The sequence below is a fragment of the Homo sapiens genome, chromosome 14 (genome assembly GCF_000001405.40).
Source record: "Homo sapiens chromosome 14, GRCh38.p14 Primary Assembly".
NCBI classification, from domain to species: Eukaryota; Metazoa; Chordata; class Mammalia; order Primates; family Hominidae; genus Homo; species Homo sapiens.
The window spans coordinates 45,365,897-45,389,286 of record NC_000014.9 but is presented as its reverse complement, the minus strand read 5'-3'; the positions used below and the strand labels follow the sequence as shown (position 1 = coordinate 45,389,286).

The 23,390-nt window shown below is 38.1% G+C and overlaps 1 long non-coding RNA gene across 2 annotated transcripts; it reads right to left on the bottom strand.

Moving 5' to 3' along the window:
- LOC105370475 (uncharacterized) lies at nucleotides 1-23,138 on the bottom strand. Of its 2 annotated transcripts, none has more exons than XR_943817.4 (5): nucleotides 23,017-23,138; nucleotides 18,466-20,379; nucleotides 14,007-14,075; nucleotides 11,842-12,045; nucleotides 1-370 (listed from the first exon to the last, which is right to left on the bottom strand). It is a non-coding gene; the product is annotated as an uncharacterized LOC105370475 (long non-coding RNA). The 2 variants fall into 2 exon arrangements; XR_943818.4 differs by lacking the exon at nucleotides 1-370 and having other exon boundaries at nucleotides 11,749-12,045; nucleotides 18,466-18,578; nucleotides 19,984-20,379.
- Between the last annotated feature and the right edge of the window lie 252 nt (nucleotides 23,139-23,390).

Here is a 23,390-nt window from a genome sequence, read left to right as displayed (position 1 = left end):
GGGGGGCTGACCCCCCCCCACCTCCCTCCCGGACGGGGTGGCTGCCGGGCGGAGACGCTCCTCACTTCCCAGATGGGGTGGCTGCCGGGCGGAGAGGCTCCTCACTTCTCAGACGGGGCAGCTGCCGGGCGGAGGGGCTCCTCACTTCTCAGACGGGGTGGTTGCCAGGCAGAGGGTCTCCTCACTTCTCAGACGGGGCGGCCGGGCAGAGACGCTCCTCACCTCCCAGACGGGGTCTCGGCCGGGCAGAGGCGCTCCTCACATCCCAGATGGGGCGGCGGGGCAGAGGCGCTCCGATGGTGGGACTTCTCAGCCTCCATAGTTGCATCTCCCTTTTGTCTTTATTTGAATCTCCATGCATGGAATTCTCCTTAGAAATTTAAATCAACACAGAAATGTGGTTAATATAACTGTAGCCATCAGATGGATTGTTAAGGAAAGGGAAATACTGTTTTTAAGTTTTCACACATACTTTTTAAAACTTCAATCACTACATTTACAAAATTCACTACCTTTAAGATGAAGGCATAGATGTGTAGTCCAGTTATGTGTTTCTTCTTAACAAACCACCCCACACCAAACTTAGTGTCCTAAACAATAATATTTATACAGTGCTTAGAGACCTAAGCAGGGCCAGGAATTTAGAAAGAATAAAGCTGGTCTCTGTTCCATGATGTCTGGGACTTTGTCTGGGAAGCCTTCAACCCTGAAAAAGTGACTAAACAGTTGGGGTCTAAGATCATATGAAAGTTCATTCACTCCCATATCTGGAAGTTAATGCTGGCTATTGCTTGCAACTGGACATCCTACATGTGGCATCTCCACATATCTGTATGCACTTCCTCGCAGCCTGATTCCAAGAACAAACATTCCAGGAGAATACAACAGAAGAGTGTTATATTTTTATGACCTACTTTCAGAGTCATCAAGCCTCACTTCCATCATATTCTACTGGTTGAGGCAGTCACAAAGGCCAACCCACCTTCAAAGGCAGGGGACATAAAATCCATCTCTTGATAGGGAAATGCCAAGGTTCTAGAAAACTATATAAGATGAGAGATATTGCCTAAGATAGAGAAACAAGAGTTTACCATTATAGTCCACAGGAGCTGTGGACTATACACAGGAACTTTACTGATAAACAGACTTCATTATCATTTTGCAGCCTCATCATGTCCCGCAAAATTGAATATCTGAAGTTTTAGCTGTCTAAGAATCAAAATTCAGCAATTCAGGAAAAATGCAAAGCCAAAAATCACAAAAAGTGACTACATTATGAATTATTCAAAAGGTAGTAATGTTATCCATCATCTTCTCACTCTAGGAGTGCCTTGTGGGGAGGGTTAAAGGAGAGACAAATCTGTATGTACCTAAAGTATAGATAATGTTCAAAGGATGATCTACTTTTCCATTTTCTCCCTTATCTAAAATTCAGTATAACATGATGAAGAACAGGATTTCACAAACAGATCCCTGAGCTGAAGTTTAGTTGCTAAATTCATTCATTAAATTAACTAAAAAAATTTGAGTTTCTATAACATAGTCAGAAATACAACAGAAACAAGATACTTCCTCTATGTACAAGAAGCTTTTACTCTAACAAGTAAGCTAGCAACACATTGTAATAAATGCTAGGTGGGTATACATGGGGACTCTTCAGGGCGGGTATTTAGACAGATGTTCACAGCCAATATCCATTCTGAATGGACTGTTCTCTGTTTTGATTGCTTAGTGCCAATGCCACTGCAAGTGATTAATATTTTCAGTAGCATCTCTGATGCTATTATAACATGAGTGTAACTGAGTGTCCAGCCTGCATGGGGAACTGCAAGTAATACACCAGAGGTGTACCATAGAATGAAAAGTAGGGAGTGGCAATGGAGGAGGCTGGAGAAATAAACTCTGGGTCTTCTATGTTATTCTGGGGTAAATGAAGGAACTATTGAAGGGGTTTTATTCAAGAGATGAAGCCTATTGGATTGGTCTTTTGAAAATATTATTTTAGCTGGTCAGTGAAAGACTGAAGGGAGCAAGGTGTTAAGTAGATAGTAGGAGGCAATTTCCAGAATCCAGGGAAAAGAAAAGCAAAGTTAAAGGCAGTAAGAATGGAGGAAAGTAGACAAATATTAAGAAGGTAGAATTTGAAGGATTTTGTGATTATTAGATGTCAGTGACGCAGAGGGATTGAGGTGGAGTTTTCAAGGATGACCTTTAGATTTCTGGTGTGGCAACTGGGAGGATGGCTACTACCAAAGACACAACCCTGTCTAATCTTTGACCACGGGCCACTGCAAGGCAGAAAAACAGCAATGGCAGCTCAGTTCCAGCTAAGGATGGTGCTCAAGTCTAGCTTGACAGGGAAGAGAAACCAAGAGGCTTAGGCAGATGGACAGGAGATTATTTTCTCTCTCCCTTCATCTCCTCCACTAAAGATACCTGTAAAGACCTGGAGATTATAATTATCATAAGAGCAGTTGGATGAAGGACATGGAGATTTCTTTAGGGGACTAGTATAAGTGGGAGAAAAATATGGCGAAATTGAGTCCAGGTGGAAATCTGAAACTCACCAGGAAGAACAGAAGTTGGTCCTGAGCATTATATCCTCCTCCAAGAAATACTTTACTACTAGCCCTTCTATACCAAGAAAAGGTACCCAATGGAGCAAGATTTCAAGGGAACCAATAAGCTAGCATGGCCAAGAAATGATTTTTTTTTTATACCCCTATTCCTTTCAGCAATTGAAATCCCCCCGAAATTAAAAATCTTCAGGTGGGGTTGTGAAAATTCAACCATAATAGAATCTTCAAAGAAGGGCAAGCATAAAAGTATTGTCTCAAGTCTTGGAGAAATATCAATACTGAGGTTTCTACATGGTGGTTTCTTGCCCAGGAATTGCTTCCTCTGGGTCATCTTCCATTTCTGGAGCTCTCCAAGGTGCACTTATTTATCATGAAATAGCAACTGATGTCCTCTCTAATTCTGCAAATTTCCCTTAAAATTATATAATGTGTAGGTCCTGCATCTTAAGTAGTTATTAGTTACATTTCACTTCCAAATCTCTTTATTTAATGTCTAAATAATCTTCCTAGAGATTTTGTCATGTTTAGAAGAGGTCATTCTGAGGCATTGTTTCAGTCTCTCCAAAAGTCATTCGTTGGGTCACTTTAAATAACCTATAGAGATTTTGTTTAACTTTTTCCTTTTAGTAGTTTTTAGGCTACCACTATTAGAATTGATTAAAATATCCAACTTCGGAGACAATAGGAGTTTTGCCTACCCCAGATTTACTAAATTGTGTCTCAGCTTTGAATAGAAAGTTAACATTCCAAAAGCAAGTCACTCTATCTATGGTATTAAAATATAAAGCTTATCTAAGAATGTGTCATTGTTTCACAGAATTTTGAAATTGGCAGTACCCAGACTCACTCCCTCTCAGCCTCTACTCTAATTTCGGCTATGGGTGAATGGCTTGGACTTCACACTGACAGTATCTCACCTTGAAGATGTGCTATGCCTCCTGGCTTTCTGCCCCTAGGTAGCTCAGATCAGCAGCTAATGTGTATAGCTCAGAAACTCAGGAGAAGAAGCATCCCCAAGGACAACTCTGGGCTTATGGGGGGTGGAGCTGATTAATAAATGTTCCCATCTCCCTTCTTTTGGAAAGGAATTCTTGGAGGTGCTCTGTATGCTTCTCGGGAGGTCCCAACAGGATGGAATCCCATTGCCCCCATCAGTAGCCTCAGTAATGTTCCCTTATAATAGTTCTTCCTCCTTCCTTGTCCCGCTTTCCCCAGGACCTTCCTCCTTCTTCCGGGTATGACTGCTCAAAATAAGTCACCTGCACACAAACTCTTTCTCTGGCTCTGCTTTTAGATAATACTCAAACTAAGAAAGTTATTCTCTAGTCAAATCCCTTCATTTTAAAGATAAGAAACCTCTTGTACAAGAGCACAATATTAGTTACAACAGAAACTAGATCTCAAAGCTCCCAGCTTCCAGAATAGGGAATTTTATTTTACTGTCTAGGATGCCATCAAACATTGAACAGTATGAAAGAGTAAGTGCTGAACTGTAGTGGAACAGACCTTCAGAGCTACTGACATTCAGAAGGGATAGCCAGGAGTGAACACTGGTGTAGGCAGGGAAGCTTTTATAGAAAAAGGGAACTTCAATAGGGAATCCTTTCCCCATTGCTTGTTTTTCTCAGGTTTGTCAAAGATCAGATAGTTGTAGATATGCGGCGTTATTTCTGAGGGCTCTGTTCTGTTCCATTGATCTATATCTCTGTTTTGGTAGCAGTACCATGCTGTTTTGGTTACTGTAGCCTTGTAGTATAGTTTGAAGTCAGGTAGTGTGATGCCTCCAGCTTTGTTCTTTTGGCTTAGGATTGACTTGGTGATGCGGGCTCTTTTTTGGTTCCATATGAACTTTAAAGTAGTTTTTTCCAATTCTGTGAAGAAAGGCATTGGTAGCTTGATGGGGATGGCACTGAATCTGTAAATTACCTTGTGCAGTATGGCCATTTTCACGATATTGATTCTTCCTACCCATGAGCATGGAATGTTCTTCCATTTGTTTGTATCCTCTTTTATTTCGTTGAGCAGTGGTTTGTAGTTCTCCTTGAAGAGGTCCTTCACATCCCTTGTAAGTTGGATTCCTAGGTATTTTATTCTCTTTGAAGCAATTGTGAATGGGAGTTCACTCATGATTTGGCTCTCTGTTTGTCTGTTGTTGGTGTATAGGAATGCTTGTGATTTTTGCACATTGATTTTGTATCCTGAGACTTTGCTGAAGTTGCTTATCAGCTTAAGGAGATTTTGGGCTGAGACAATGGGGTTTTCTAGATATACAATCATGTCATCTGCAAACAGGGACAATTTGACTTCCTCTTTTCCTAATTGAATACCCTTTATTTCCTTCTCCTGCCTAATTGTCCTGGCCAGAACTTCCAACACTATATTGAATAGGAGTGGTGAGAGAGGGCATCCCTGTCTTGTGCCAGTTTTCAAAGGGAATGCTTCCAGTTTTTGCCCATTCAGTACCCTAAAACTTAAAGTATAATAATAAAAAATAAATAAATAAATAAATAAATAAATAAAAAGGGAACTTATGCTGGGCTGTAAGTAAATGTATAGACATGTGGAGGATATTCCAAGAAAAGGAAACAATGAATGAGAGTGTTACAGGTAATTAAACAGGCATGACTGGGGAAGGAAAGGGCTCTTCCCCTACCCAACAGGAATATCAGGTGATAGTTGGGTAATTACCACATTGAAAGGGGAGAGTTCTCTGACCCCCTTGCACCACTTGTGACAGGGGTGTGACTCATTTGCTGCTGCTGCTGATCAAACCCTTTATGGGAGGGGGAGCAGGCAGAAAAGCAGGTGCAGGAGCCAGGGCGAGCCCTTTTGGGCTCCAGACCTATGGCGGCATCTAGGGGTGTGTTACAACTAATGTTCTTTTAGCAGTTGCCATCCACGGATGGCTAAGTATTAAACCAGCTCAGTGGAGAGTCAGGTTGACAGCCTTTTACACCCTGCCCTCTTGGTACCCAGGTGCATGTCTGGCATCCAGAAAGAATCGGGTCACACACTGACTTGAAGAATGGTGTATGCAGGGATTTTTCTGAGTGGTGGAGGTGGCTCTCAGCAGGATGGATGGGGAGCTGGAAAGGGAATGAAGTGGAAAGATTATCTTCCTCTGGAGTTTGGCCGTCTCCTGCAGCCAATCTCCCTGGCTGTCCCCAGCGGAACTCCTCTTGACATTCAGATGCTCCTTCTCTTCTCCTCCTTCTCTACCACACCGCTCTGCTGCTCTTCTGCTCCTCTGCTTGACCACTCATGGAACCTGGGGTTTGGGGTTTGGGGTTTATATGGGTATAGGATAGGGGGCATTGTGGGCCGAAAGGCAAGATTTGGTTGCAAAAACAGGAATGTCTGTTCCCATTTAGAGCCGCAGTTTCCAGGCTTGAAGGTAGGGCCTTTGCCAGTGAACCACCCTCTTCTACCCAGTATTTCCCTGCTTCCTGTCCATACCAACATTGCCTCTCTAAACATGATAATTTGGCAGCCAAGCCAGGTATAGACAATCTCCTGATGGTCTACAGATGTCACATTAAAGTGTTAATTGAGAGCAGGCACCAGGGAGAGGCAACTTCCCAGATAAAAACACTTGAAATTGATAATAAAATCTCAGGTATTGGGTAAGTGAGCCGGGCATGCTCAGTAAGAGACAAAATGGCATTCCACCAGAAAAGGGAAGAAAGTCCCAGATGGGCACACGTTCAACTTCCTAAACACACTACACATGCTCACTTGCCAAGTGTAATGAGGGCACTGCACATGCAGGCAGCCCACCCCAAGGGAGGAACCAGAGGAAAAGGGCACAAGACCCCGAGAGTGGGCCAATATATAAAGTCCTAGAATCAAGTATAAATGTCACACTTGTCCTTCAGCTTGGCCACTTGGGTCTCTTCCACTTGTACTTTCTTTTCTTTCCTCCTCTAATACCTTTTTTAAATGAACTTCCACTCCTGCTCTAAAATGTGCCTTGGTCTCTTTTACTGCCTTATGCCCATCAGTCAAATTTTTTCTTCTGAGGAGGCAAGAATTGAGGTTGTTGCACATCCGTTCAGATTCACTGCTGGTAACTCAAATACCTTCTACCCCTAACAAAAGTATTAAAATATAAATGAACTGTCTGTATTCTTAAGATATCTTGTATATTAACCTGGCATGTCACATTGACGTATACAGGGAATGCTGAATAGGTAGGATGGTGTCAGGTTACAAAACTTTGCAAGCCAAGCAAAAGAATTTAAAAACTAGTAATCAAATGACTTCATTTCACACATAAAATGTTAAGAAAACTGACCACCAACATTCAACTAGAAACTGGCAATGGTAGAGGCAAATACAGAGTCCCTGTCTCCACAGTTTTAAATCCTGTGGTTTTTTATTTTTTTGTTTGTTTGTTTGTTTGACTACCCTACTCTTCCAAAGTTACCTTGACACACTTTAAAATCTAAGGATATTTTTGTATCTTTTGTATTGTAATATTCATGGAACAAAAAACAAGATCCTTGGCTGGCTTTATTAGATTCGTTGCCATCTGATCACTGCTTTAGCCCTCCTGCCTTACACAACTCATTCAACCCATACCCCATACTCCTGAAGTAGTCTTCATGGTCACTCACACCTTCATGAAAACTTTCTTTCTCTGTTAAGGTTGTGCCATTCTGTTTTTCCACATTATTTCCTCCCTTGCCCTAATTTACTGAACTTTAGCTTATTCACCCTCATTGGGTGAGAACTATGTCCTGGGCTCCCAAGTTCCTTTTATTTCCAGTCTTCCTAAGATTCTGTACAGCCTTAATACCTAGGCAGATGATCCATATAATACCATGGCCTCACATCTTCATGACCTCCCAGATTTCAACTATGCTGTATCGACTTCAACCATAGTCTGGACCTTGTCATCAACCAGAACTGCATCAACTTTGAAATCCTAATTCGAAAATATTAATCTGAATATAAACTCATATTCCTCCTTCTCTTTCACTATCTCGTGTTTATTTGTTCCACCACCTACATGTGCCAGGTGGGACACTGGAGAAACAGGGATGAATGAGACAGACAAGGTCCCTGTTGTCACAGAGCTGGTAGCCTAGTGACAACAACAACCCAAGAAATTAATGGAAATAACTATGATAGGGGAAGTACGGGATGCTATGGGGGCTTATTGAGGGGCACCCAACCCGGACTTGAGGGTCAGGGGCTTCTCAGGAAGTAATGTTTACGGTAGCCTTCATCAAGGCTCTTTAGATGCTTGATCCCTCCATTTTATTCTCATTCATCATCACTCCCACATGGCTTTGCTTCCCTCCCTCACTTCCCTAAACTCCATAATGCAACCTTCTAACTAATCTCTTCCTCATGTGCTCATTACTGATACTAGTCCCCTTATCTTTCTCCCACAGCCATTCTGAATACTTTCAATCTTGGATAAACTTAACAATTAGCCTTCTCTGATCTTATACCTTGGCTGTTGAGAGCTTCTTGAGAAAACCACATCAATGTGCCAACTGATAGCACTGAATTCTGGATCTCTGATCTCCACTGAGCCCCATATACATAATCCTTATTCTAGCCAGATCATTTCTAGTTCCGACAACAACTATTTCAGTGTTTTCTCCTCTGTTCACAACTTTACTATTTCACTAATGTTGCCATCACACACATGCCAAATTCTAAAAACTCTTCACAAATTTCATCTTCCATGACCTCTTTGGAGCATCTAGAAACTTAGATCTCTCCCATTATCTTTAAACTCTCTTTTAATTTTACTTTAATGATATCACTGTCTCCTGGTTCTCTGACTGTATACCTAACCATTGCATCTTAATATCTCATTAAGCTCTTATTCTTCTAGCTATTACTAAAAGATTGGTATATTTCACAATTCTATGCTTGATCTTCTTCTTCTGTGACATGCCACCACAGAGACTTCATCTACTTTTGCAACTTCAAATCATCCTTCTATATGCTCATAACTATAAATCTAGATCTGCTCATAACTATAAACCAAGACATTGTCCTGAAGTCTAGGTCAAGAGCCTGCAGCTATCTCTGCCTAACTTAACATATATAAAACTAAACTAACTATTCTTATTATCTCTCCCCAATCCAATTTCAACTCAATTTTTTATCATATTCACCAGCCACCCAACCAACAAAGACAAGTCTATGAGTTATTGTGTATTCCTCTCTTTTTCTCACTCCCACATCCAAAGATAATCAAATACTGTTTATTCTACTTCAAAAACATTTTTTCTTATCCATTCCCTCGAAATTTGGTCATGTCACTCTGTACACCCTAATCACACAGAATTATTGGATATTGCTTCCAAATCCAGGCTATTATATTCCTATGGCTTTTCTCAGTTTGTTTTGTTATCTGGAATGCCCTCCTTTTTCCTACCCATTTTTCAGGACTCAGATTACACAATTTTCTCAATTAATATTTTCTTGACCCTCTACTGACTCCCCATATCCAACAAAACTTTACCTTTCTATTGAATTTCATATATACCCTAACAAAGCACCTATAATATTAAGACACTATAATTATTAAGACACTATTTACTCAAGGGACTGTTTGCCTGTCCTATCTATAAGCCATATCTATCCTATTGAGCCAAAAATTCCTCCTGAAAGAAACCATTTCTGAATTTACTTTGTATCCCTACGATCTAGCATAGTGCCTGGATCAGCAAATATTTCTTGAATAAATGAACAAATGAATTCAGAACAACATACAGTTCCTGTAACACATCATTTTTGTGCAGGTGCTACTTGAGAACATTGAGAGCATGAGCTTTGGAGTCATATAAACATAGGTTTAAGTTCTCATCTTAACACAGCATAAGTTGTTTGCCCTTAACAAGTTAGCATCTTAAAATTTCAGTTCCTTCATCTGTAAAATGAAAATAACACTACTACCTCATTCAGTTCTTGTTAGGATTAAATAAATGAAGGAAATGTGTAAAAAAGAAACCAGGGGACAATTGGCATCAAGCAAAGATTTAAATACGTGTTAGTCATTAACACTATTATCCTATCCTTTTGCTCAAATCTTCCCTCTATCTGGTGAGTCCCCTCCCCAGGATGGCCTTCCTTAATTTTTTGAACTAACTAATACCTTGACTTCTTTTAAAACTTAAGCAGGCTGTTTTCTCTTCTGGGACTCCGCCCTGACTTCTCCACCCCTTGTGGTTAAGTAGTACTCTTCTTTTTCACTGTTCTCAAAGTTCCTTATGCTATTTCTCCCATAGTAAATATTATACAGAGCATGTGTCTGTTTGCATGCCTAGCTCTTGCATTAGACTATAGGCTCAATAAGAATAGGAGCTATCCATTTTACCCCCATAACCTAGCAATCTGCATAGCAGGTATGTTGCTCAATAAATGATCACTGAGAAGAGAAATACTAATAGAGTACCATGAATGTGGTAAATGTAAATATTTTTTGATGATCAGTGGGATTAAATGGTTGATCTACTGTGCCCTATAAGGTTATTTGGGTAAGATTAATCAATCCCAGTTGGATTAAGTGCTGCTGTCAATTATGTTAACTTGGTCTATATGGAGATATTGTACGTAGCACATAGTAACTATATCCCCTTATTAATAAGCTCTTGGATATATTTGCAGCTCTATCTTATAGCTAAGTTCAAAAAGTTGGCAAAGAAGGCTAGCTTAACAGGAAGTGGAATAAAGCCTGACAGTAAACTCTTTTAATCCCAAAAGCTATTTCTTCCCAGGCTTTTTTTTTTTAATTATTTTAAATGTTTATTGCTGTATTCTCCATCCTGCTTAACACAAGATAATTAAGACTATGAACCCTTGTCTTAATTGCCACATATCACTATACTGAAACCTGCAAAAGATAGCACATTTTTCCTCATGTAATTTGTTTGATTTGTATTTGATGAAGAAAAATTTTTCCCTGAAAACAGCATGGAATCCTGAGATAACGGCTTAAAATATTTATTTATAATTGGAAAGGCAGACAGACTCTTAATCATGGCATGGCTTAATTATAGCAGCATAAGTATAATTAGTACTGTTGTAATAAATTGCTAATTTATAAGATGAATGATCTTGCTTCATATTCAAAGTAGAAAGAGTTCTATATATTATTGTATGTATTCTTGGTTTAAATTATTATCCTCCTGGATCCTGTCTGTTGATAACTAAATATCAAATTTTTCATTTCTCTATATACATTAATTTTAATATCTAAAAGTTGAAAGTAGAAAAGCCAATAAAACCAACCTATTAACCATTTTAATTTATGTTATTAATTAAGCATCGATGTTCATCGTCTATTCACCAGTTTTTAAATCTATTTCAACTAGTTTTCAATATGTGTTATCCTTGTCATTGATAAATGAGTAAAAATCAGCATGGATTTATGCCTAAGAAATGGTGGGGTTTAGTGACAAAGACAGAAAAACAAGTTAATGGCTGCAAAAGTACACGATAAGTAGTTCAAATTCTTCAGAAGTATAATTTTGTATTGCTATAACAATGTCTGGCTTTTATTTTTCAGCTTAATGTTTCAAATTCATTTTTAAGTGATAAAATTTTCTTTTAACCATCATTCTTTAGCAACGAAGACAGTGAAAGCAAAATATTACTTTTTTTTTTTTTTTGAGATGGGAGTCTCACTTTGTTGCCCTGGCTGGAGTGCAGCAACTATTCACAGATGCAGTCATATCTCACTGCAGCCTCGATCACCTGGCCTCAAGCAATTCTCCAGCCTCCTGAGTAGCTGGGACTACAGAAAATATTACTATTTACAACGTCACCTACTTCCAATAGCTTTTTTTCTTTTATTACTTTGCCATTCACTATGAAGTGTATTCCAGTAATATGCTCTAGGCCAGACATATATTGCTAGAGAAAGATGGTTATTTGCTTAAATTCCTCTTTCAATATGATTTGTTACCACAAATCCTAGGCATTCTTTCTTCTTTTTAAAAGAAAAAAGCACAATTTAGGAAAGAAGAATTTGCCACTATTACATCTGAGGCCAGAAAGTCTCTATAAAAGTAAATAAAGGATTTAAACAAATTTCAAGGTTATCTAAATTCCAGTATATGCAAGGCAAAGTGGATTTAAGGAGCTTGAATTATCCTGAAAGTTGACTCAATTCTTTAATTACGTTCAAATTGTAGGGGGGCGATATATTGGAAGTATGTACACTTAAGCCTTGAGAAATTCAACATGTCAGTCTGGGGGTTATGAGGTCATTTTCTGAAAACAGAGATGTAATCACCTCATTCTGGTGGAGTCTTCATTCACAGCCTGACTCACTTCAGAACCACTCAGCAGCCCCTGATCAGCTCTGCAGATTGGCCTGATGTTCAGGCTCATCACAGATGTCTCTCAGATCAGCATTAATGAGACATTTGCCTCTGCCAGGCTTCAAGAATCCAGCCTTCATGATTTAGTGCTGAAATAATTTGCCACCATAGAGAGCCTGGGGAATCAAAGGGGAAAGACTGATTAAGAAATTCTATTTAAAATTAATTACAGAAATTATATAATTTGTAAAAAAATTAACCCAGTTAAACATTTTATTTGATTTTTTTCTCAGGGCAATATACCATGGCCTAGCTCAGTTCTTCTGCATATTCTCATAATAGAGAAATACTGACGATTTTTTGTTAAAAAAAAAAAAAAGTTAATTGCATCTTAAGGTACAAATATTCAATAAAATATATTTATTTTAAGTGAAATTGAAATCTGCAATATTATTGGTTTTTCTCTTTATCTAACTTCTTGCCAGGCAATGTGATGATTTCTTGATAGTACCACTCTCACCATCAGTCATAACTATTGAAGTTGGCTAACATGAGTGAGGGAAAACATCTCTTAAAGATGACAGGGTCATATCACTGACCTTGAGCTTCTGAAGAAAATGAATTGGCTTACTAAAGCAGTCAAGTAGAAAGAAGAAACTATCATTTTCTAAATGTTTTCAAGGTAAAAATCCTCAGGGACAATCTTTTATCAGTGTCTTAGGCTTGATTAACTGTCTTAATTCACTATGATTAATGGCTTTTAAAACTCTGGGGCATCAAGCTTCTTTATATCTTGTATTATATGAACCTTATAAGTGGGATGTTCTTCAAATGAACATCATAACCTACACACAAACCACAACAACAACTGTAACAGATAATTATGCATTATGCCACTCAGTCAGTATGAAAGACATTTCCAGGTAAGGCCCTCCTTTCATTTAAATAGAGATATCAATTTCTCACCCAAAAATACATATCTCTTCACACAGGCAATTTATCCTTCATCAACACATGACACTCCATTCTTCCTGTTTCCATAAGTGATTATGTCACTTAGAAAACCCACTAATTTTTCATTTTTGTCAAATGAAGATTTCAGCCATAGTATTTAAAAATTACTTTGCTTTTTAATAGCTAGTGAATAGAAAATATTAAATAGAAAAGACAAATGTGAATGCATATAGAATATCAAAGCTCTGCGTATGCTTAAAGATAATAAAGTTCAAGTTCCAACATCCAATGCAAATTATATAAAATTCAGTGGACTGCTATTATCTAAAGTGAACAGGACAAAGGTTTCCATCTTCAGTAAAAAGTAGGATCAATTACAAGCTTTGGCCACAAAAATTGTGAAACTGGCACAAAAGTTATATTGAAAATGCCAGCTGGGCACAGTGGCTCAGGCCTGTGATCTCAGCACTTTGGGAGGCTGAGGTGGGCGGATCCCCTGTGGTCTCGAACTCCTGTTCGAGACTGGCTTGGCCAACTTGGTGAAACCCTATCTCCAATAAAAATATAACAACAACAAAAATTATCCAGGTATGGTGGTGCGTGCCTGTGGTCCCAGCTGCTCGAGAGACTGAGGAAGGAGAATTGCTTGAACCCGAGAGGCAGAGGTTGCAGCAAGCTGAGATTGCACCGCTGCACTCCAGCCTGGGCAACAGAGCAAGGCTCCGTCTCAAAAACAAAACAAAACAAAACAAAACAAAACAAAACAAACAAACAAAAAAAGCCAGTCTTTCTCTGTGGGATAGAGGGAATGAGATCCTAAAGTTTTCTTTAAACTCAAGTATGGTTTTCAGAACAGATGCCGAAGATAACTGCACTGTTATGGACTACTTGGGCTTCCACATTAGTCTTGTTTACCCTAGAAGCCAATTTATTTTAAGTCCACAGGCACTCAGAAAAGCAGATATATCTCATGCTTCCAGGTTCTCCTTAGGTGTGTCAGCAAATACACTACTCAAACTCTAGGACTTCCTTATTTCTCCCAGGCTTTAGGATAAAGTCATAACATCCTGAAAAGCAATCAGAAATAGTCAGATTCCCAAATATCACCCAATTGACACTACTGCCTTAAAGGATTTGTACCAAAAGCATACACCAACTTTAAAGAGAAAGGGGCATAGCTCACCTAGGCTGAAATTGATGTGATGTATGTATCAGATGATTATATGAAGCTTTTAGAATTTAGTTAATAACACTGAAAAACAAAGACAGGGAAATTTTACAAGGAAATAAGACCCTCATCCCACCAACCTCCTTCCTTTCTCAAACTTGTATAACTCTAGCTAGTGAAACAATAATAAATTATAATATAATTCTTATGAATCAAACAATTTAAATAGAAATTACCTCTTCTCTAAAGTTTGTATATTTCATTTTAGATGTAGAATTCATCATTTGAGTTATTTTTTCTTCTTCCAGAGGGAAATAATGAGTTCAATTTTACATGGTTGGTATGTGTTTATGATAGCTTTAAAAAGAATACCACAGGAGGCCTTTATCATGGAAAATAAAATTGTTTCAGAGAATACACTGGATGGCTATTAAATTTTTTTCTACATTGTTTCTATATTAAGCTTATTTGATGTAGCTCACTATCTCTTAGTAACATAAAACTTCTTTAATGTTAATTTTTAAATGACAAATTGATTTATAGGGGAAAGAAATGAATACATAGACACATGATTTTTAGGGTATTGATAGGTGTCATTAATCACTCTAAGGTTAAAACAGTACAGCCCCCAGTAAAACTCTGCAACATTTTCTCTAGTATAAGATCTGTGACAGATAAAAAAATCCATCCTATTTCTTTTCTTGTTAATAAAATGCACAACTTATACCTCCGAAAAGTTTTATAGCTAAATCTCTAGTGACTGAATTTCTATACTGTACATAAAAGGAAAGTGTACAGAGGCAGAGCTGGGAGAAGATGACCTTAAGATGTTTATTTATTGGATTATCTCACTCTTAAAGAAGTATAATTTTGAAAAAAAAAAGTGAAAACCCATGATAAATAAATTTATCACTCTCTTTGTGCAAAAAGCTGTATAACGCAATAGTTTATGTTAATACAAAAATATAATTCCCATAAAATACAAGATACAAGGGACAAACAGCATCAAGATGGCTGATCTGAGGTGCCCAACATTCATCTCCACAAAGAAGGACTAAAACAACAAACTTAGATAACTGCACTTTGGGTAGAGTGTCTAAGGGAGAACACTGCAATTCAGCAAGGAAATGACCAATATGCTCTGAGACAAGGAAACTCAGGATAGCAGCATAGAAAGGGAAGCAAAGCACCCAGCTGGGATTGTCACAGAGACAAAGGGGAACTTCTCATTATGGGGAAAAGCTAAGTGGGAGATCCCCAGCAATACCTATAACTACCATGAATACCTGCAATCCTGGCTACAAAAGGCCCTATGTCCGGTTTAGGGAGCTGCCTAGAATCCATGCAGCTGCATGGACTCAAACTTCTGTAGCACAGGGCCATTTTGAGAAAGGAGCCACTGCGGAAATGCAACCTGCTCTGGGGCTCAATTTTACCACTTTTATTCGACACAACACTGGAAGTCCTGGCCAGAGCAATTAGGTGAGAGAAAGAAAGGGCATCCAAATAGGAAAGAAAGAAGTCAAATTAGCCTTGCTTACAAATGACATGATCTTTTTTTCAATTTTTTATTTTAATTTTTATGAAAACATAGTAGATGTACGTATTTATTTCACAAGTATTTGCCGAATGCTATGTGCCAGGCACTGCTCAAGAAACTAGAGATACGGTAATCAACTAGACACATTATGCAGGCTTTCCAGTTCCTACATTTCATTTCTTTCGAAGTGTCTTGCCATGCCCAGAAACCCATTCCATTCTAATTCTAAAACCTCATATTTTTTTCTAACTTGCTCCCATTTTCCCTTGTATCCAACCCACACCTTATCTATCGTCTAGTCCTTAACTTTAATAATTTTTATAGTTAATGCACACATATATAATCCATTCATACATATGTATAAATATTTAATTTATATATCATATAATATAAATAATATATATAAACTCATATGGGAATTTTCCCAACTACTTTGTAATTTCCTTAAGGGGTGACATATTTCTATCTTATGTCCCTAGCACACAGTAGGAACATACAAATATTTAAGGCATAAATCAATGAGAATATCACTGGACGGGGACTATCTATTTGTACATAAATGGAACAAAAGAAAGAGATCATCTTAATTCCTCATTGCAATAATAATAACTCCTATTGAACACCTGCATCGTTGCAAGTGCTTTACACATATTTAATCCCAAAAAAATTCTATGAAGAAGGTACTATTATTATCCCCATTTTTTACATGATAAAATTGAGGCAGAGAGAAGTTAAATGCCTCTTGAAGGCCAGTGAATGGTGGTGTCAGATACAGGAAAATTTTATTTAAAAATCAACCATTCTTATCTACTTTGTCATAGTGTTTTTCATGATTCTAAGTCTAGAGATTTAGACTTCTGACACTATCAAATGCCTCTCTCCTGACAACTTTCCCCATAAGTGTCTCCATACTAATGTCATGGTGAAAGCTCTGTCAATAGAAAAGAAAAACTCCTAATACATTCATGATTTAGACTTCTGTTAACATAGGATGACTTTATAGTTTTTCATCCAAATCAAGACACTTTTAGGAGTAAATGGGGTGCTATATTTTTATATATATTGCTTTATAACAAATTACTCCCAAATTTAGCAGCTTAAAACAACACACACACATCATCTCACATGCTTTCTCAGAGACATGAACTTGGGAGGGCTTAGCTCCTGGTTCTGTTTCAGGGTCTCTCATGAACCTGCAGTCAAGATACAGGCCCATACCCTAGCCATCTGAAGGCTTAACTGGGCTGGAGGATATGCTTCCAAGCTCGCTCAAATGTCTGCTAGTAGAAGGCGTCAGTTCCTTACCATAAGGCTGCTCCTGATAAGGCATCAGGCTTCCCCTAGAGTGAATGATGAAAGAAAGAGAGAGAGGAAAGAGAAAGAGAGTGCAAGAGCAAGATGGAACCAGTGTTTTTATCACCAAATCTCGGAAGTGATGTACTCTCACTTTTGCCTTATTCTATGGTTAAATAGACCAACTGTGATACAATGTGGTAAGGGATTACATATAGTGTGAATGCCGGAAGGTGGGATCATGAGGCACCGTCTTGCAGGCTGGCTACCCACAGGTGTTATTAATAATTATGCCAGGACAGCAGGCATAAATGAAGACAGTTCCTATGCCTTGATTTATATGTAGCACATCAAGAAGTAATTTTCTACCTCCAAAACTATTTAATTCTATAACAATGTCCCTAGAAATCCATGATATGAATAAGTGCCATGACTCTGTCTTACGCGCTCCCACCAAATCACTCCCATGACATTGCTGTGGAAGACAACACTAGTCAATAAGTAGTAGCTTCTCAGCCGGCTCTCTTTTCCTCCACAGCAAATACTAGTCTGTTGCTTCTCTCTGTCCCTAACAATTATACCCAGGCCCCCAAACATCCATAGCAATCTAGGATGTTCACAAATGATAAAAGCTTTAAAGGCCCTGAATAACACTGATGATATTAAAACTTCAGTCCTTTATGATTGAAATAAAACTTGATAAGATGATCCCTGGAATTACAATCGTGACATTTTCTATGACAGATCAATGTACTGGCAGAGAAAAGTGCTAAAACTTAAAAAGGATTTGCTCATAATTATTGGTACTCTCAACCCTGGGCATTTTGCCTTCAACAGCTAACTTGACCATGTGCTGTCTTAATCACTTCCAAGTGAACTTGGTCATGGTGCTAAAGCCAACTCCAACTCATCTTCTGAGTCTGTAAGAACAAGAACTAAAGCAAAAGTAACATATCTAGATTAAATGATTTGGTTATTAAGGGTAATTAATTCTCTTTTGTTTTGGAAATACTAGATATTAAGCAGATCTACCTATACCTTGATATAGGACAAGAAAGAATAATAACAGTGCATGGTAATATATTATTATTTATAAGAATCAAGTTAAGTAGACCAATTAAGTCAGAAAAACAATCCTTCACTTCTAATAACCATTAAAGTAAAGGCAATGAAAATAAAGAATCGTGGACATTGGGATTATAAGTAGAAACGCTAAAATTATTATTTTTTACCCTGTGCATATTATATAAGACCATCTGCTCAGAGGAAAGTTCATTAAAATTGGAGAATGTGGTGGCTGTTTCAAATACAGCAGTAGCCATCATCATATTAAACAGTCAGGGTGGTAATTTGACAGTCAAGCTTAAAACCTGAGAGTCCATGCATGATTCAGTGCTATTGATATGTTGATATATTGGAGAGAGAGGCTGGGGGAGAGGGAAAATAAGAAAGAGAGAGAACAGAGACTGTATCTCCTTTTTCCTAGTTGTTTCTTCAACCCCTTGACCAGAGAAGTCAGGAACTGACTTTGGAAGAACGAAAACGACTGTAAACTTCCCATGAAAGTCAAACAAGAAACAATGAACCCAGAGAAATAGAAATAAAGCATTTCACCAATGTCTATCATGATTCATTACTTACATTTATTCAGTTTCCAGAACCATCTTGACAAGCACTGTTAGTAAGGATAAAGGAAAGTAACTGCATGACCAGGGTACATTAAATTGTTTTCCTTCTTCATCCTTTCAGTTGTGCTGGGGAAACAAGTTAGTTGCTATTTTCTGGGGGTTTTTTTCCCTGTTGATAATATATCTTCCCATCATTTGTAAGCCCAGATCCTTTTTCTCATTTCAGTTTTAAAACAAACCTCCTGCCAGTTGAGGCTGACTTCGCCTTGCTAAAGGCTGGGTAATTCCTCTGGGCAGTAGAATACCTCATCTGTTACTTGAATGTTGTTTTCCTTAGTGGAGTCCTGTCAAATAATTTTTTTCTTGCTCATCTGTTTCCCTCCAATTCAGGGACCCCTATTGATTTACCATAAGTTAAGTCAATTTACTCCTAAATTTTTCTAGCTGTGATTTGGGAATATTCACTCAAGTGCACAGAACACCCACTATGAATCACATTTACATGTGTCTTTAATCTTAAACCTTTAAGCATCTGCTAGAGTTATTCTTGCTTCTCTCTTATTTTTGCAACATGCACACAAAACATTATTTAATGGAGAAGAAAATTTCAAATCTTTTCTTCATGTAGAAGAGGTCATAGAATAGATATATTTCCATGCAAGGAAAATGTGTTACGTGTTTATAAACTGCATCCAAGAGTCACCAATTCTACTTGAAAGAAACTGCAAACTGACCTTATTCCTTAGATTCGGTTTTCCAGACAAACTGAAAGAGTTACTCTTCTAGTCTGTTCTAAATTGCCCATTTTTTCTCTCTAGATTTCCTGGAATTTATAGTAATATGGCTTGTCCTTAGACTAAATTTCAGATTATGTACACAAATCCAATAAAATTAGTTGTTGTCTATTAAACATAGTCCATGTTGTTCTTTACTACTGGTTATCACAAGTTACATAGAAATGACACCCAGGAATAGCAACACAAATATGGTGCCTTCTGCTTTTGCATTTCCTTCCCAGTTGTTCATTACAACCATTGCATTCATATGATAAATATGTATCAAGTACCTGATATGTGCTAGGTACTAAAAAGACAAAGAGACACAATACTATCTTTCTAGACTAATATAATTTCTAAAATTTTTGGTTTATTTTATTTTGAATCTCAAGCCAGTATTCTCAAACTTTCTTAGCTGGATTATATTTTTTTTATTTAATATTACTTTGTGTATACAAGAAATACAAACTGAAAAGCTCTGTTAAAAGCAGGCTCAGTGGGAGCAGCCATCTGGACCCCTGACAGCCTCCAAAACAGCCAATGATACACTGCTAAGACATCTGGGACATCATAGAGCACCTTTCAAACCACAGACATAGCCAACCCACTTATTTTTCAGGTAAATAAACCATGAGTTAGAGGTACTGCATAAGTTGCCCAGAGTCATCAACCAGCCAGGGGCACATTCAGAACTATCCACATTTCCTGACACTTAAGTTCTGGGTTCTTTCCAGGGAGCCCAAACTACTACTTACTTTGAGTAATCTTGTTTCTTTGTCAGAAAGATTTCTGGTTGTAAATATTTACTTTTTAGGGCTTTATGAATTCTTAAGATATAGTTCATTGTATCTCAGAAACAGAAAAAGCATCTTGGCCAGGTGCGGTGGCTCATGCCTGTAATCACAACACTTCAGGAGACAGAGGCAGGCAGATTGCTTGAGCCCAGGAGTCCGAGACCAGCCGGGGCAACATGGCAAAACTCCATCTCTACTAAAAATACAAAACTTAGCCGGGCATAGTGGCACGCGTTTGGAGTCCCAGCTACTTGGGATGTTGAGGTGGGAGGATCGCTTGAGCCTGGGAGGTCGAGGCTGCAGTGAGCCGTGATCGCATCACTGCACTTCAGCCTGGGCAACAAAGTAAGAAGTTGTCTGAAAAAAAAAAAAAAGAAAAGAAAAAGCATCATGAATTGCTCATCTCTGATGTTAGACCATAAGTTGATTTTTAAAAGCCTTATTTCTTCCAAAAGGTAGATGGATGAGAAGCCGGTAGTTGGTCAGTCACTCAAAATTCAGAGCAGTAACCACTGTAGCTCACAGAAAAGAAAAGATTTGTTCACCTCCAAATCACTCAAAGAAATTCCTATTACTAATACCTCTCCTAGCAAATAGAAATCCTGCATAACTCCAGGATAATAAATAATAAAATGGAAAACACTGTTGCATGCCCAAGGCTGCTGTGCTTCCCAGATTATTTCTCTTCTGTTGCTTCGCCCTTTTGTACTATTGCCCCCGGATGCTTCTCACATCCTCTTTCAATACCTAGAGTGAAGTTGTTACGTCACTGCCTTTGCCCCCACTTGCCCATGTCATATGCCCTGCTGGTAATAATATGTTCCCATTGTTGAGAATACAGTGGCATCTGGAACATAGTGGCCTGCCACTACATCATTGCTCATTATTGATCACTGCTATGCATGTATTTAAACTGCTCTAAAAACTAATTTAAACTGCCTTCATCTCTAGCTCTTAATCACAATAAAACATTCTTTTTCACCTCATCAGTTAGTATATATTCATAGCCAGGAGTCCAGCATTTTTTTAAAAAGTTAATTCCAATCTTTTATTTAAAATAAAAACATTAACTGTTACCCCATGCTATGCTGGTAAAACATTAAACTCAAGCTCTTGAGTGCACTGCTTTTATACTGCGGGTATTGAAATGTGACCCTTACCATTATAGATTGATTACAAGGGAAATGTTATGGCATCCCAGCATGTCATCTGCTTTTAAAGATTTTTTTAAAAATGGGGAGTGAAGAATAATGAATTACAAAGACAGTTCAAGTTATCAAAAGGTGCTTAATTTATAAAGCATTTCCTGCAGTTGTGGTTTAAGATGTTGATGCTCATAGCTAAATTAGTTTACAACTCACCTGCATTAAATTCCTTAATTACTCAATTATTACCATGTATACTGTTTAAAGAGGCCAAATTACTCCAGGATAATTGCTTCCTTATTTGTTTTTAATACACATTCAATTCCTTGGAATTGTAGATCATGTACATCAACAGATTTCTTCAATAAAGAGCTAAGCTTTATGTTAGATAGTATAGGGGTAAAAAGGTGTAATATCTTTTCCTCACTCATATCAGGGTCCAAGGCTGACACCCTTATAACAAAAGACACATTAACAAGAGAAGAGGGCTTGGTGTCGTGGCTCATCCCTGTAATCCCAGAGCTTTGGGAAATCGAGGATTGCTTAAGCTCAGGAGTTCAACACCAACTTGGGCAACATAGTGAGACCCTCTCTCTACAAAAATTTTTAAAAATTAGCCAGGCACAGTGTATGCCTATAATCCCAGCTACTCAGGGGGCTCAGGCAGGAAAATTGCTTGAACCTGGGAGGCTAAGGCTGCCGTGAGCTGTGACTGTGCCATTGCACTCCAGTCTGGGTGACAGAGCAAGATCTTGTCTCAAAAATAATAATAATAATAATAAAATTTTTTAAAGAGAAAATCATAAATTTATCTAATCAAAGTTTTACTTGACACAGGAACCTTCAGAAATGAAGACCCAAAGACCCAGGGAAAACTGTATTTTTGTGCTTGTATTCAATGAAGAATGGACAGCCATGTAGAAATGTTACTGGACAAAAAAACACTATGATCTAACAGTAATAAACTAGGGGAACTTAGCAAGGCGCATTTATTCAGATTCTTCTTGGCCTCTTTGTGTAACATTACTCCCCCTAGATTATGGGGTGGGACCCCTCTGGAATGAAGGTCTTCAAGGGAGAAGGGAGAAGGTCAGAGAGTGACCATTTTAGGTTTTATGGCTTGCTTTGGAGAACAGAAGTTCTAGTGTCTATAACACACCTTGGAAAAGAGGAATTCGGGTTCCCGTGCCTCACTTCGGAGGAATAAAAAGGGCAGGAGACAAGAGGGCAAGAGAAGGTCAGAGTCTCTGCTTCTGAGGCTCTTCCAATCTCCTTCAGTTCAAAATACTTAGTATACCAAGATGCCATGCTTTGGGGTATTATATTCTGAGTCCAGACAATAGACAATGTATTTTGGAAATTTACCCAAAAATATTCAGAAGTCATGTATTTTAATACCCTACGATTTATTATCCTCATTATACAATTGTCTGATGTAAGATACAGCCTGTTAGTTTGCATATTTGTATAAAATACATACCTTTTTATTATAAATATGCCCATTATATTAATGATTAACAACAGCACATTTAATTTTCATGGTTTTATAGAAAACAAAGCAGAAATTTGCTACCCCTACTGGTTTAACCTCATATATGTATAAATTAGGTCTCTTTAGATGTTTTGAATGTGAAAAAAGAAGATATGTAATGTTTTAAGTAAAATAATATTAAAATAGACCCAATCTGGCTGGGTGTGGTGGCTCATACCTGCAATCCCAGCACTTTGGGAGGTCAAAGCAAGAGGATTGCTCGAGCCCAGGAGTTCGAGACCAGCCCTGGCAACATAGGAAGGCCCCGTTTGTTCAAAAATAAAAGTAAAAAAATTAGCCAGGCATAGTAGTACATACCTGTAGTCCCAACTACTTGGGAGGCTGAGGTGGGAGGACTGCTCAAGCATTCCTGGAAGGTTGAGGGGGCAGTGGGCCGTAATCATGCCATTGCACTCCAGGCTAGGTGACAGAGCAAGACTTCGTCTAAAGAAAAATGAAAAAGAAAAAATAAAACAGACCCAATCTTACATTATATAGAGTAGCCTTACAATAAAGAAAAGGAATATAGGGTCATTCAAATGCTTTGAAAATACCATAGAACTCTGTTATGTGCAAAGATATGTTCTAAGACCTTGATGAATCCCAAAACTGTGAATATACAAAAGCATATATTCCCTTCATAAAATTCAATGAAGTACAATTGAAAAATTGAGGTGATTACTTGAGACCCT